Source organism: Homo sapiens, chromosome 20 (assembly GCF_000001405.40).
Source record: "Homo sapiens chromosome 20, GRCh38.p14 Primary Assembly".
Taxonomy (NCBI): domain Eukaryota; kingdom Metazoa; phylum Chordata; class Mammalia; order Primates; family Hominidae; genus Homo; species Homo sapiens.
In genome coordinates, this window is record NC_000020.11 from 31517499 (window position 1) to 31532474 (window position 14976).

Here is a 14976-nt window from a genome sequence, read left to right on the forward strand (position 1 = left end):
GCCAAGCCCTGCCCTCACTGAGCCCAGTCACCAAGGAGAAACAGACATGTGACTAGTCAAGTAAATAGAGCTCTGATAGGCCTCCTGGAGGGGGCAGCAGTTGTCTCTGCATGGATTGGGAGAGTCCAACAGGCAGAGCAGGAGAAGGTGGGGCAGGGGACCACAAGATGTGTTCAGGGAGGCAGTGAAGAGTGTGGTGTGAGCCCAGGAGAGGGGCTTGGATGTAGTGACAAGATGTTCAGGAAGCCCGTGGCCTTTCTGGGGAAGAGAATCCTGAAAGCAATGCAGCGGTTAATCGTATTGTTACAAAAATACTATACACTTGTTAAAAAAAAAAAAAATCAAGCAGTGCAGAAGTATAAAGGAAAAGCCTCCTGGGCACTATTCCTTGGAAGTAACCCAACTGGCTGTTGAGTATATAACCTTTGAGAGTTTTTTCTGTGTTTACACATTCATTGTATATGTGTCTGTGTATATAGACATGTAAATTTATTTTTATAAAAATTGGATTATATAGTACATATTTCTCTACAACTTGATTTTTTTTTTTTTTTGAGATGGAGTTTCACTCTTGTTGCCCGGGCTGGAGTGCAATGGCGTGATCTTGGCTCATTGCAACTTCTGCCTCCCAGGTTCAAGCAATTCTCCTGCCTCAGCCTCCCATGTAGCTGGGATTACAGGCTGGCACCACCACGCCTGGCTAATTTTGTATTTTTAGTAGAGACGGGATTTCTCCATGTTGGTCAGGCTGGTCTCAAACTCCCGACCTCAGGTGATCCACCCTCCTCGGCCTCCCAAAGTGCTGGGACTACAGGCATGAGCCACCGCGCCCAGCAATTTTTTTTTTTTCTTTAACAATATGTTGGCCAGGCACAGTGGCTCATGCCTGTAATCCCAGCACTTTTGGGAGGCCGAGGCAGGTGGATCACTTGAAGTCAGGAGTTCAAGACCAGCCTGGCCAACATGGTGAAGCCCCATCTCTACTAAAAATACAAAAATTAGCTTTGTGTGGTGGGGCACGCCTGTAATCCCAGCTACTCGGGAGGCTGAGGCACAAGAATCGCTTGAACCCGGGAGGCACAGGTTGCAATGAGCCGAGATCATGCCACTGCACTCCAGCCTGGTCGACAGAGTGAGACTCCATCTCAAAAATAATAATAATAATAATATGTTTCATTATTTTTCTATGTCAGTACATATAGACCTAAAGTTAACCAGACATGATGGCATGCACCTGTAGTCCTAGCTACTCTGGAGGTTGAGGCGAGAGGATAACTTGAGCCCAGGAGTTCAAGGCTGCAGTGAGCCCTGATTGCACCACTGGGCAACAGTGAGACCCTGTCTCAAAAAATATATACATATATATATAGAGAGAGAGAGAGAGAGATCTACCTCATCTTTTATGGTGGGGAGGGTAGGTAATACATGCCCATGGTACAGAATTCAAAAGGTACAAAGGGGTGCACAGTGAAAGTCTCCCTGCTACCCCAAGCTGCCCTATTTCCCTCCTCAGAGGCAGCCCCTCTCCTGTGTTTCTTAGATATCCATCCAGAAAGATTCTGTGTCTTTACAAATAAATAGGCATATACTTTTCCCTGATTTTTTTTGTTGTTGTTTTAATGAGACCGAGTCTCACTCTGTCACCCAGGCTGGAGTGCAATGGCATAACCTCAGCTCACTGCACGCTCCATCTCTTGGGTTCAAGCGATTCTTCTGCCTCAGCCTCCCGAGTAGCTGGGATTGCAGGCACCTGCCATCATGCCTGGCTAATTTTTGTATTTTTGCAGAGATGGGGTTTCACCAGGTTGTCCAGGCTGGTCCTGAACTCCTGACCTCAGGTGATCCACCCGCCTTGGCCTCCCAAAGTGCTGGGATTACAGGCGTGAGCCACCACGCCTGGCCAGTACACTCTTCCTTGCACCTTGCTTTTTTCACCTAATGTGTGTTGCAGATCCAATCATGTCAGTACATAGGGGGTGGGTGTGTTCTTTAACAGCTGTATGGTATCCCACTTGTACTCCAGTTTGCTTAGAATGCTAGTTCTCTAGTATCTGGTCCCTGGGCCAGCAGTGTCAGCATCACCCCAGAACTTGTTAGAAATGCACATTCTGAATCAGAAGCTCAAGGTGGGCCCAGCAATGTGTGTTTTAACAAGCCCACCTGGTGATTCTGATGCATGCTCAAATTTGAGAATTTGAGTCCCCAACTGGTCATTTAGGTTGTTTCAGTCTTTTGCTATTACAAACCATGCTGAAATTAATAACATTATACATTTTTATTTCACACTTGTCTGTGTATTTGTGGGATAAATTTCTCAAAATTGGTGGGTCGAAGGCTATGCACACTTTTTTTTTTTTTTTTTTTGAGACAGTCTCGCTCTGTTGCCCAGGCTGAGTGTGAGTGCGGTGGTGCCATCTCAGCTCACTGCAACCTCTGCCTCCTGGGTTCAAGCAATTCTCCCACCTCAGCCTCTTGAGTAGCTGGGATTACAGGATTACAGGCGCGCACCCACCACACCTGGCTAATTTTTATGTTTTTCATACAGATGGGGTTTTACCATGTTGGCCAGGCTGGTCTCAAACTCCTGACCTCAGGTGATCTGCCCGCCTTGGCCTCCTAAAGTGCTGGGATTACAGGCGTGAGCCACTGTTCCCAGCCCACACTTTTTATTTAGATAGATTTTACCATATGATCCACTATAGAGGTTGTATCAGTTTACTTTCCCACCAGCAATGACCTCAATTCTTGTTTAATGGCTGTGGAGTAGTCTGTTCTCCAGAGGTTTTGTTTTTTTGTTGTTGTTTTTGTTTGTTTGTTTGTTCATTTGTTAGAGTCTCACTCTTTGGCCAGGCTGGAGTGCAGTGGTGTGATCTTGGCTCACTGCAACCTCCGCCTGCCAGGTACAAACAATTCTCATGCCTCAGCCTCCCAAGTAGCTGGAATTACAGGCGCGTGCCACTACGCCTGGCTAATTTTTATATTTTTAGTAGTGACAGGGTTTCACCATGTTGGCCAGGCTGGTCTCGAACTCTTGACCTCAAGTGATCCGCCCACCTCGGCCTCCCATAGTGCTGGGATTACAGGTGTGAGCCACTGTGCCTGGCTTCTCCAGAGGTTTTTAAGCAGATACGTGATACAATCAGGTGTAGGCTTTAGAAAGAGCTCATGGCAGGGTGGGTGATAGGCAGGAGGGAGAAGTGTAATGTTGGTGCAGGGGTTGTGAAGACAGCAATGCAGCAATGAGGGCCAAAGGATTGGGGTGGGAAGTTAGGAAAGGTAACCTTGGAGAGCTGAGTGACTGGATGTTGTGGTAAAGAATGGAGACTCTGGAGTCTCCAGCTGGGTCAACAGTAACAGAATGGCCCATGAATTTCAGATCATTTCCAGGGCATGGCGTAGAAGCAGTGCTCCGAGAGCTTGAACCGTGCCAATGGCTTGAAGCAGGCATCTGTCCTCTCTTACAGCTTTTGTTTCCGCTCTGATAACAACATCCAGAATGTCACTGGAAGCTACATTTACTTCTGCTGTTTGTGTCAGGTTTTTCCCCCACTTTCTAATTGTGTTTTATGTTGCAGGATCTATTGTATTTACATACACAAATCTGGTTAAAAAATCGCAATTGGATTGGTAAAGAATCCTAGCAACTTTTTAGTATTTTTGTAACTACAAAGATTAGCTGTTCAGTTACCTTCAGGATTCTGTTCCTCAGAAAGGTTGCAGGCTTCCCAAGTATCTTCCTGTTAAAACTTTCCAACCGAAATTTCCAGATAGGAAAGATAGAAATCTTCTAGGAAACAGCTCCCAAGAGTTTGGGGTCTGGAACTGGACTGCCTCAGTTTCAGTCCTGGCTCTGCCACTCACCAGCTGTGTGACACTAAGCAAGTTACTTCACCTCTCTAGACCTCCGCTTCCTCATCTGTAAAAGAGCTATTAAAAGTACCTGCTGGCCAGGCGTGATGGCTCACGCCTGTAATCCCAGCACTTCGGGAGGCCAAGGCAGGCAGATCACAAGGTCAGGATCTTGTGACAGACCATCCTGACTAACATGGTGAAACCCTGTCTCTACTAAAAATACAAAAAATTAGCTGGGCGTGGTGGTACATGCCTGTAGTCCCAGCTACTCGGGAGGCTGAGACATGAGAATTGCTTGAACCCAAGAGGCGGAGGTTGCAGTGAGCCAAGATTGCACCACTGCATTCCAGCCTGGGCAACAGAGCGAGACTCCATCTCAAAAAAAAAAAAAAAAAGTACCTGCTTTGTGGGGTTTTTGTGAGGATGAAAACATGTAAAGTACCTAGAACAGTGCAGTAATGTTATTGTTATTACTATTATCGTCAGATTTCAGGTCTCCCATTCTTTTTTTTTTTTTTTTTTTAATGGAGGCAGAGTATCTCCATGTTGCCCATGCTGGTCTCAAACTCCTGGGCTCAACCGATCTGCCCACCTTGACCTCCCAAAGTGCTGGGATTACAGTCCAGTCTCCCATTCTGACTCAGCATTGCAGCATGGGATATTTATAAGTCACCCGCAAAGGAGACCAGAGTCCTCTGTGTAATGGAGAGGATCTGTCCAACCTTGGTTTGTCACTGAATAAGATTAGGCCTCTTCCCACCCAGGGTGCTGAGCTGAATTGAAAGGAATATGTGGAAATGAGCCATAATGCTGGTTTGTAGGTGAAGCCACAGAGTCCTGCGTGTCCTTTGACAGCCCTGAGCCTCTGCATGTGCATATCTTTCTGCCTGATAAGCACTTCCTTTCCTTGTACACAAAGCACACTCCTCAAGCCGGGCATGGTGGCTCACACCTGTAATCCCAGCACTTTGGGAGGCCAAGGCAGGCAGATCATCTGAGGTCAGGAGTTTGAGACCAGCCTGGCCAACATGGTGAAACCCCATCTCTACTAAAAATACAAAATTAGCTGGGTGTGGTGGCAGGTGCCTATAATCCCAGCTACTCAGGAGGCCGAGGCAGAGAATCACTTGATTTGTAGTGAGCTGAGATTGTGCCATTGCACTCCAGCCTGTGCAAAAAGAGCAAAACTCCACTAAAAAAAAACAAAAAAAAAAAACTGACAAGCTGACTCCTAAACCCAGTCAGCATTTGTCTGGCTCCAGACTACCAGACACTGTGCTTGACCATCAAGGCCTTGCTTAAGTGGTACCTGCTCTTGCCACCTCTGACTCCCTTACTTCTCTGCAGAAATAGTGTCTTGTTGGCTGTGTCGTGATTCCGTTTTGCATAATAATGATACAAATGGTGTATACGGTTTAAATGATGACTCGAGATACAATGCTGAGTACTTCCAAAGCAGAAATCAGAATCCTCACAACTTGTTTTACAGCTGAGGAAATTGAGGCTTAGAGAAAAAAAAAATCACTTTCCCAAGGTCCCACAGCTGGGAAGTAGAGCTGGGAGTCCAAATGGACTTCCTGATCTCAGAGTCCCTTCATAACTGCTGATGTTCATACTGTGTGTCACAGTGATATACATGTCTATTGCATCATGTGTCACACTACATTATAATAGCCTGTTTGGGGTTTTTTTTGGGAGGGGGGCTTTTTTTTTTTTATGAGACAGAGTCTCGCTCTGTTGCCGAGGCTGGAGTTCAGTGGCACGATCCCCACTCACTACGGCCTCCACCTCCCGGGTTCAAGCAATTCTCCTGCCTCAACCTCCTGAGTAGCTGGGACCATAGGCGCACAATATCACACCCGGCTAATTTTTGTATTTTTAGTAGAGACGGGGTTTCACCATGTTGGCCAGGCTGGTCTTTTTTTTTTTTTGAGACAGAGTCTCGCTGTCCACCCAGGCTGGAGTTCAGTGGCTCAGTCTCGGCTCACTGCAACCTCCACCTCCCAGGTTCAAGCTATTCTCCTCCCTCAGCCTCCCAAGTAGCTGGGATTACAGATGCACACCAGCACGCCCAGCTAATTTTTGTATTTTTAGTAGAGACAAGGTTTCACCATGTTGGCCAGGCTGATCTCGAAATCCTGACCTCAGGTGATCCGCCCGCCTCCATCTCCCAAAGTGCTGGGATTACAGGCATGAGCCACCACGCCCAGCCAGTTTTGCTGTGCATTCCATAAAATAGAATACGTGTTCCCTGTAATATGTATCATGTCACAGTATTAACCTACCTGCCTGTGAGTGTTTCAAGATCAGGAACTCATTTTTGTACCCATACTACTGCTACACAGGAAATGTATTGAATGTGTGGAGATGCTCAGAGGGGATGAGGAACTTGCCCAAGTCCCACAGCACACTGCTGGCAAAAGCAGAAGCCAAGGGTTGGGAGAGAATAGGGAAGGAAGGAAACTGGGCCTCTCATGTGGGTATTGTTCACCCACCCCACTCCCACCTCCTAGCAAAGCTGTCCAAGTGACTCACATGGAGCTGCCTCCAGTGGCTCCAGAGGGGAGGGTCTCCCTTCCAGCCCAGAGCCTGGGCTGCCTCAGCCATGCATAGGCAAGGGTGTGGTTAGGGGCCTCCTCACTCACCTCTCCCTGATAGTCACAACCCCCAATACAGGCACAGTACTTTAGTTTGCCAGGCTGTTTCGCATCCCATATCTTATTTGCTTTAAGACTCCTATGGGGCTGGGTGTGGTGGTTCACGCCTATAATCTCAGCATTTTGGGAGGCCAAGGCAGGAGGATCACTTGATGCCAGGAGTTCAAGGCTGCAGTGAGCTATGATCCTGCCACTGCACTCCAGCTTGGGCAACAGAGAGAGACCCTGTCACTTTTCTTTAAAAAAAAAAGAAGGCTCTTGGACCTTTTTTGAAGTGAGGCTAGAGATTGTCCTCCTGTTTGACAGAGAAGTAAACCCAGTCACTCAGCAAGCCGTTAACAGAGCAAGGAATACCTTGGATACACTTTATGTGTAGCATTTTACTTATTTATGAACTATATCTGTAGGGAGAATTCCCACAGATGGAATTGCTTGGTCAAAGGGTATGTGCATTTGTAATTTTTTGTGTATTGCCTAGTTGCTTTCTACAGGAAGACAGATTGACTCCCATAGGCAGTGTGGGAGACTACATCTTTCCCCGTAGCCCCACCGACTCAGTATGTTACCCAGTGTGTGGATTCTTACCTTTCCGATAGACAAAAAACAGAATCTCAGTGTGCTTTAGTTTGAGCTCTTATTAAGAGTGAGAATAAAGACTTTTTTTATTATTATTAAGAGCCATTTGTAGTTCTTGTTGTGTGGCTTTTTTTTTTTTTTTTTTTTTTAGATGGAGTCTCGCTCTGTCGCCCAGGCTGGAATGCAGTGGCACAATCTTGGCTCACTGCACGCTCCGCCTCCCGGGTTCATGCCATTCTGCTGCCTCAGCCTCCCGAGTAGCTGGGACTACAGGCGCCCGCCACCACATCTGGCTAATTTTTTCTATTTTTAGTAGAGATGGGGTTTCACCACGTTAGCCAGGATGGTCTTGATCTCCTGACCTCACGATCCGCCTGCCTCGGCCTCCCAAAGTGCTGGGATTACAAGCGTGAGCCATTGTGCCCGGCCTCTGTGGCTCCTCTTTTTGTATCTTTGGGCATGTGGAAATTTCAGTCTAATGCATCCTGCCAAATTACCCTCCCGAAAAGGCTGGACAGGTTTATACTTTAGGCCAGTGCTGTCTATGTATTTCCTTTAGCCAGGCACAGTGGTGCATGCCTGTAATCCCAGCTACTTGGGAGGCTGAGGCAAGAGGATTACTTAAACCCAGGATTTCGAATCTAGCCCACACCTCCCTCTCCTAGTAGTCATTTTGTGGGCTTACTGCCCTCTGCCCCATCTCCTTCCCTCTTTGCAACCTTCCACCTGGGACACTAGGGCCTCTCTGAGCCAGTCTTACCTTCTCCAGACACCCTCTCTCTTAGCAGGTTTTTTATTGTTGGTTTTTGTCAGCCAAAATATTTGTGAGTCTCCATAACTGAATGTGATCCCTTCTTCTAGGGATGCTGGTGCTTTACTTGCAAGATGGATATGGTGATAGTAGAATCTCAGGCACTGTAATGAGCCTGGCTACTATGGAAAGAACTTCAGCATGAGCAGGAGTCTAATCTGGCATTGCTAGGACTTTTGGTAGCCATGATATAAAACAGTTGCAGAGTAGGCTTGTCCCAGCGGGGAAATCTGGAAGGGCTTCGTGGCAGTGACATTTACTAGGCCCTTGAGGACTGTGAGGATTTTGCCTAGCAGAGAGAGGGCAGGTAGAGACCACTGTGATCCTGGAAGCTTTTGACCCTGTTTGGAATACAAATTTATACCAAAAAAAAAAGAAAAAAAGAAAAGAAAGAAAAGAAATTTATACCAGTACTATATATCATTGATAAATTTTCATTAGAAAGTTCTGGCCAGGTACAATGGCTCACACCTATAAGTCCAGCACTTTGTGAGGCTAAGGCGGGTAAATCACCTGAGGCCAGGAGTTTGAGACCAGCCTGGCCGACATTGTGAAACCCCCTCTCTGCAAAAAACACAAAAATTAGCCAGGTATGGTGGCATGTGCCTGTAGTCCCAGCTACTTGAGAGGCTGAGGCGGGAGAATTGATTGAACCAGGAGGCAGAGGTTGCCGTGAGCCAAGATTGCACCACTGCACTCCAGCCTAGGTGACAGAGCTCATGAGACTCCATCTCAAAAAACAAAAAAGAAAGTTCGTCATAAATCCTTTTTTTTTTTTTTTAGACGGAGTCTTGCTGTGTCTCCCAGGCTAGAGTGTTCAGTTGTGCGATCTCAGCTGACTGCAACCTCCACCTCCTGGGTTCAAGCGATTCTCCTGACTCAGCCTCCTGAGTAGCTGGGATTATAGGTGCCCGCCACTGCGCCCGGCTAATTTTTGTATTTTTAGTAGAGACGGGGTTTCACCATGTTGGCCAGGCTGGTCTCAAACTCCTGACCTTGTGATCCACCCGCCTCGGCCTCCCAAAGTGCTGGGATTACAGGCGTGAGCCACTGCGCCTGGCCTTCTTTGGCATAAATTCTATGAAGCTAATCTATTCCTATGTTGATCTGTTACTCCATTTTCAATTCTTTTCCATTTTTATAATACTGAAATTATTTTGATTGCATTCAGTTCTTTTTCATGTAAATATTTATCCTTCATCAGTTCTTTACCCACATCACATTCTTGCCAACTATAGCATCTGCCATTATAAATTTAATTGTGGCTTTTATTTTTACCATTTTCAAGTCTGCCAGTCAAATTTCTTAAATTTAAGTTTTGTCAAGATTTGCTTCTCCTCACAGTTGGTGTCTCCCTATGTGCAGTTTCAGCCATTGTCTGTCTTGTTTGTTGTTAATTTCAACTCATAATATTCATTACCTACTGGATGACAGAATAGTCATTTTTCCCTCTTGGCTGATCCATTAGAAAACTGAAAACAATTTTCTTCGAGAGGTCTGAAACTGCTGTGGCATCACTGGTGTCCAGGTTTTCTTCTCTCAGTTATTCCATACTGGAATGGCCTCTGCCATAGCCCTTCTCCCCAGATGTGTCACACATGCCCTGGGTTCTCCTTGGTCTCTTGATCAGGGTCCAGATCTCCTCATGGTAGAATGGCAGGATCAGCCAGGCATGGTGGTTCATACCTGTAATCCCAGCACTTTGGGAGGCCGAAGCAGGTGGATCACTTGAGGTCAGTTCGAGACCAGCCTAGCCAACATGGTAAAACTCCATCTCTGCTAAAAATACAAAAATTAGCTGTGCATGGTTGTGCATGCCTATAGTCCCAGCTACTCGGGAGGCTGAGGCAGGAGAATCGCCTGAACCCAGGAAGCGGAGGCTGTAGTGAGCCAAGATTGTGCCACTTCATTCCAGCCTGGGTGATAGAGCAAGACTCCATCTCAAAAAAAAAAAAATGGCAAGATCAGAGCATCTTGCCCCAGGATGAGGCAGGCAGCATCCCTAGCCAAGGGAATAGCATTAGCAGAGCCTTGCAGGAACATATGGGAACCAGCCGTGCTGAGCCATTGTCATTCTTCTCTCCTCTAGAATGCTTCAGACATGCCTGAAACAATCACCAGCCGGGATGCCGCCCGCTTCCCCATCATCGCCAGCTGCACACTCTTGGGGCTCTACCTCTTTTTCAAAGTAAGTCTTTTGCCACCTGTTGTGTCATTTGATCTAAATGACTTTATCTTATTTTGTTTTATTTTTCCCATCACAAGAACCATGCATGTTCATTTATAGAAAATAAAGAAGAAAGAAAAATTAATAATTCACCCATAGACCTACCCAAAGACAACAACTGTTAGTGTTTGGGACCCTTTCTCACTAGTCCGTATTTCTTTTCTCCATGTAGCTTTTTGTTTTGTTTTTGTGATATCAGTTTGGTTTCATTGTACTGTTTATGTTGGGATGGGGTATAGCTTGTGCTCAGACATACCTCTACCATACTAATGGCCTTTTTTTTTTTTTTAATTTATCGAGGTTTATTTTCCCAATAAAAGTTATGCAGGCTCAGTGTTGAAAACCTGGAAAACACAGAAAAGTAAAAAGGGAAAAACAGCAGTCATCCAAAACCCCACTACCAGAGACAGTCACAGTTTCCCTTCGGAGGTGTGTCCTTCCACTGTTTCTCCCTGTGCATGGTTTCTCCGTAGCTGTGACCACATGGTGTATTCAGTTTGTAGCTGCTTTTTTCACTTCACATTAATAACATCATAAACATTTTCTCATGTTACTGCAAACCTTCCTTAGTTGTACTATTTTCTGGATTATAAAAATATATTCAGAAAAACTAAAGAAAGTATATCAATAGAGGGAAAAATAAATACCACAACACAGAAGTAGTCATTAACATTTTGGCATATCTCATTTCGGGCTTTTTATTTATTTATTTTAGGACAGAGTCTCACTCCGTCCCCCAGGCTGGAGTGCAATGGCGCCATCACAGTTCACTGCAGCCTCAACCTCTTAGGCTCAAGAGATCCTCCTGCCTCAGCCTCCCAAGTAGCTGGGATTATAGGCACGCACCACCACACCCTGCTAATGTTTTCTTTTTTGAGACGGAGTCTCGCTCTGTCACCCAGGCTGGAGTGCAGTGGCGCAATTTCGGCTCACTACAACATCCACCTCCCAGGTTCAAGTGGTTCTCCTGCCTCAGCCAGCTGAGTAGCTAGGATTACAGACGCGCGCCACCACGCCCAGCTAATTTTTGTATTTTTAGTAGAGACAGGGTTTCACTGTGTTGGTCAGGCTGGTCTCAAACTCCTGACCTCATGATCCACCCGCCTTGGCCTCCCAAAGTGCTGGGATTACAGGCGTTAGCCACTGCACCCGGCCAACTTTTTCTTTTAGTAGAAACAAGATTTCGCTTTGTTGCCCAGTCTGGTCTCAAACTCCTGGGCTCAAGTGATCCTCCCACCTCTCCCTCCCAAAGTGCTGGGATTACAGGCGTAAGCCACTGCATCCATCCCTTTCAGCCTTTTAATAAGTGTATGTTTAGCATTATTATAATCATAACTGTAGTGTTAGATCTTCTTTTTGTTGTTTATGTTAGGTTTTTCTTTGTTTATTGGTTTGTTTAGAGACAGGGTCTCACTCTTGCCCAGCCTGGAGTGCACTGGTGCAATCATGGCTCACTGCAACCTCAATTCCTGGACTCAAGTGGAAAACCGACTGATTTTGTTTTATTGTATTTTATTTTTAGAGACAGGGTTTTACTATGTTGCCCAGGCTGGTAACAAACTCCTTGGCCTCCTGAAGCACTAAGATTACAGATGTAAGCCACTATGCCAGGCCCTTGTTTTGTTTGTTTTGTTTTGTTTTTGAGACAAGGTCTTGCTCTGTCACCTAGGCTGGAGTGCCATAGTGCAATCATGGCTCACTACAGCCTCAACCTCCTGGGCTCAAGCGATCCTCCCACCCTGCCTCCAGAGTAGCTGGGACTACAAGGCGTGCACCACCACACCTAGCTAATTTTCATATTTTTAGTGGAGATGGGGTTTTGCATGTTGCCCAGGCTGGTCTCGAACTCCTGGGCTCAAGCTGTCCACCCTCCTTGGCCTTGTAAAGTGCTGGTATTACAAGCATGAGCCACCACACCTGGCCCCTTTTTGTTCTTTTTAATAGTACGTCAGCTTTTTTCCTGGTCATTGAAAATTCCTCAAGGATGTCTTTAATTTACATCTTAAAATGTAGGCTGGACGCAGTGGCCCACACCTGTGATCCCAGCACTTTGGGAAGCCGAGGTGGGTGGATCATCTGAGGTCAGGAATTCAAGACCACCCTGGCCAACAATGGTGAAACCCTGTCTCTACAAAAACTACAAAAATCCATCCTGGCCAACGTGGTGAAACCCGGTCTCTACTAAAAATACAAAAATTAACTGGGCATGGTGGCATGTGCCTGTAGTCCCAGCTACTCGGGAGTCTGAGGCAGGGGAATCGCTTGAACCCGGGAGGCAGAGGTTGCAGTGAGCTGAGATGGTGCCACTGCACTTCAGCCTGGCGACACAGCGAGACTCTGTCTCAATTAAAAAAAAAAAGTATCAATTAAAAAAAATATGTACATGTAGGCCTGGTGCAGTGGCTCACCTGTTATCCCAGTACTTTGGGAGGCTAAGGTGGGAGGATCACTTGAGCTCAGGAGTTAGAGGCCAGTGTGGGCAACATAGTGAGACCCCATCTCATTCATAGGTAAATAAATAAACCGATTCATCAATAATGTACATCATTTAAAAAAATTTGTTGCCAGCCTAGGCAACAGAGCAAAACTCCGTCTCAAAAAAAGAAATATTTTTTTCAACCTAAAGTACAAATGAACCATAATCCTCTCCCCAATACAGTTTCCTGTGATTCTGTCATGCATAAATCTATACTTATGTTAAATTATATATATTTTTATATGTATCAAATACATGATTCTTACCACGGAGGTATTTTTATATCAACACAGTCAAATTACCCCATTCTTTCATTCTTTTTTTTTTTTTGAGACAGAGTCTTTCTCTGTCGCCAGGCTGGAGTGCAGTGGCGTGCGATCTCAGCTCAATGCAACCTCCGCCTCCCTAGTTCAAGCGATTCTCCTGCCTCAGCCTCCCGAGTTGCTGGGACTACAGGTGCATGCCACCACACCCAGCTAATTTTTGTAATTTTAGTAGAGATGGGGTTTCACCATGTTGGCCAGGATGGTCTTGATCTCTTGACCTTGTGATCCGCCTTCCTTAGCCTCCCAAAGTGCTGGGATTACAGGCATGAGCCATCGTGCCCAGCCTCTTTCATTCTTTTTAACAGCTGCTCATGGTTCTGTTTTACAGTGTACCCTGAGGGTATTTAGGTCTGTCCAGTGTTGGGGTATCATAGCAGTATTGTCGTGAACACTTCATACACATAATTTGTGCACTTATTTTCTTCAAGTCTATCTGCAGTAGGTCTACCAGGTCAAATGCATCTCCATTTGTAATTAGATAGTGCCAAATCACCCTCCAAAAAGATTGTGCCATTTTACATTCCCACTGACAGTTACAAGTGTGCTGGCCTACCCAGGCGCTCACCTGCATTGGATAACACCAAAATTTTTAGTTTTTTCCAGTCTGTGAGTGAATTAAAAAGATTTTTTTTCTTTTTTGAGATGGAGTCTCACTCTGTTGCCCAGGCTGGAGTGCAGTGGCACATTCTCGGCTCACTGCAACCTCCACCTCCCAGGTTCAAACGATTCTCCTGCCTCAGCCTCCCAAGTAGCTAGGATTACAGGTGTGTGCCACCATGCCCAGCTAATTTTTGTATTTTTAGTAGAGACGGGGTTTCACCTTGTTGGTCAGGCTGGACTCCTGGCCTTAGGTAATCCACCTGCCTTGGCCTCCCAAAGTGCTGGGATTACAGGTGTGAGCCACTGCGCCCAGCCAAAAACATAATTTTTTAACACCTGTTTCCTATTTCATAGCTCCCTCATTTTGGATCGGAATTTTTTTTTTTTTTTAGAGATGAGGTCTTGCTCTGTTGCCCAGGCTGGAATGCAGTCACATAATCGTAGCTTACTGAAGACTTGTTCTCCTGAGCTCAGATGATCCTCCCGTCTCAGCCTCCTAAGTATTTGGGACTATAGACGTATGTCATTACATCCAGCTATAAATCCTCTTTTTTTGTTGTTTTTTGTTGTTGTTATTGTTTTGTTTTGTTTTTTGAGACGGAGTCTGTCACCCAGGCTGGAGTGCAGTGGCATGATCTTGGCTCACTGCAATCTCTGCCTCCCAGGTTCAAGCAATTCTCCTGCCTCAGCCTCCTGAGAAATGCTCTTTTTAATGGTTACAGGGTATCCCCACAAGCAACCAGCCTGGGCAACATAGCAAGACCCCATCTCTAGAAAACATTTAAAAATTAGCCAGACATGGTGGTGCAGGCTTATATTCCCAGCTACTCAGGAGATTGAGGCTGAAGGATGACTTGAGCACAGGAGTTCAAGGCTATGGTGAGCTATGATCACACCACTGAACTCCAGCCTGGACACGAATGTTACCCTGACAATAAAAGCAGAAAAACATCCCTATAAGCAGATACAGCACAGTTGACTTAAAGCATCCCCCTCACTTTAAACAGAAAATGTCATTCTGATTTTTACTCTAAGAAATAAGAGTGCACTAAATAACATTGGCTATTCACAGATTTTTTTTTTTTCTTTTTTTCTGGACCTCAGGTAAAGAGCTGAATTTAGGCCGGGCGCGGTGGCTCAAGCCTGTAATCCCAGCACTTTGGGAGGCCAAGGAGGGTGTATCACGAGGTCAGGAGATCGAGACCATCCTGGCCAACATGGTGAAACCCCGTCTCTACTGAAAATACAAAAACTATCAGGGTGTGGTGGCACACGCCTGTAATCCCAGCTACTTGGGAGGCTGAGGCAGGAGAATCGCTTGAACCAGGGAGTCGGAGGTTGCAGTGAGCCGAGATCGTGCCCCTGCACTCCAGCCTGGTGACAGAGAGAGACTCCATCTCAAAACAAAACAAACAAACAAACAGCTGAATTTATCAAATGCCTTGGTTCAT

The 14976-nt window shown here is 45.9% G+C and overlaps 1 protein-coding gene across 4 annotated transcripts in view; it reads left to right on the top strand.

Annotated features, from left to right (window-relative positions):
- HM13 (histocompatibility minor 13) overlaps positions 1-14976 on the top strand; it is a 55102-nt gene that overhangs the window by 3057 nt on the left and 37069 nt on the right. For all 4 annotated transcript variants that reach the window (NM_178580.3, NM_178581.3, NM_030789.4 and 1 more), the window contains exon 2: positions 9986-10084. In NM_178580.3, the coding sequence (NP_848695.1) occupies positions 9986-10084 (99 nt within the window). The remainder of the gene's footprint in view (positions 1-9985; positions 10085-14976) is intronic.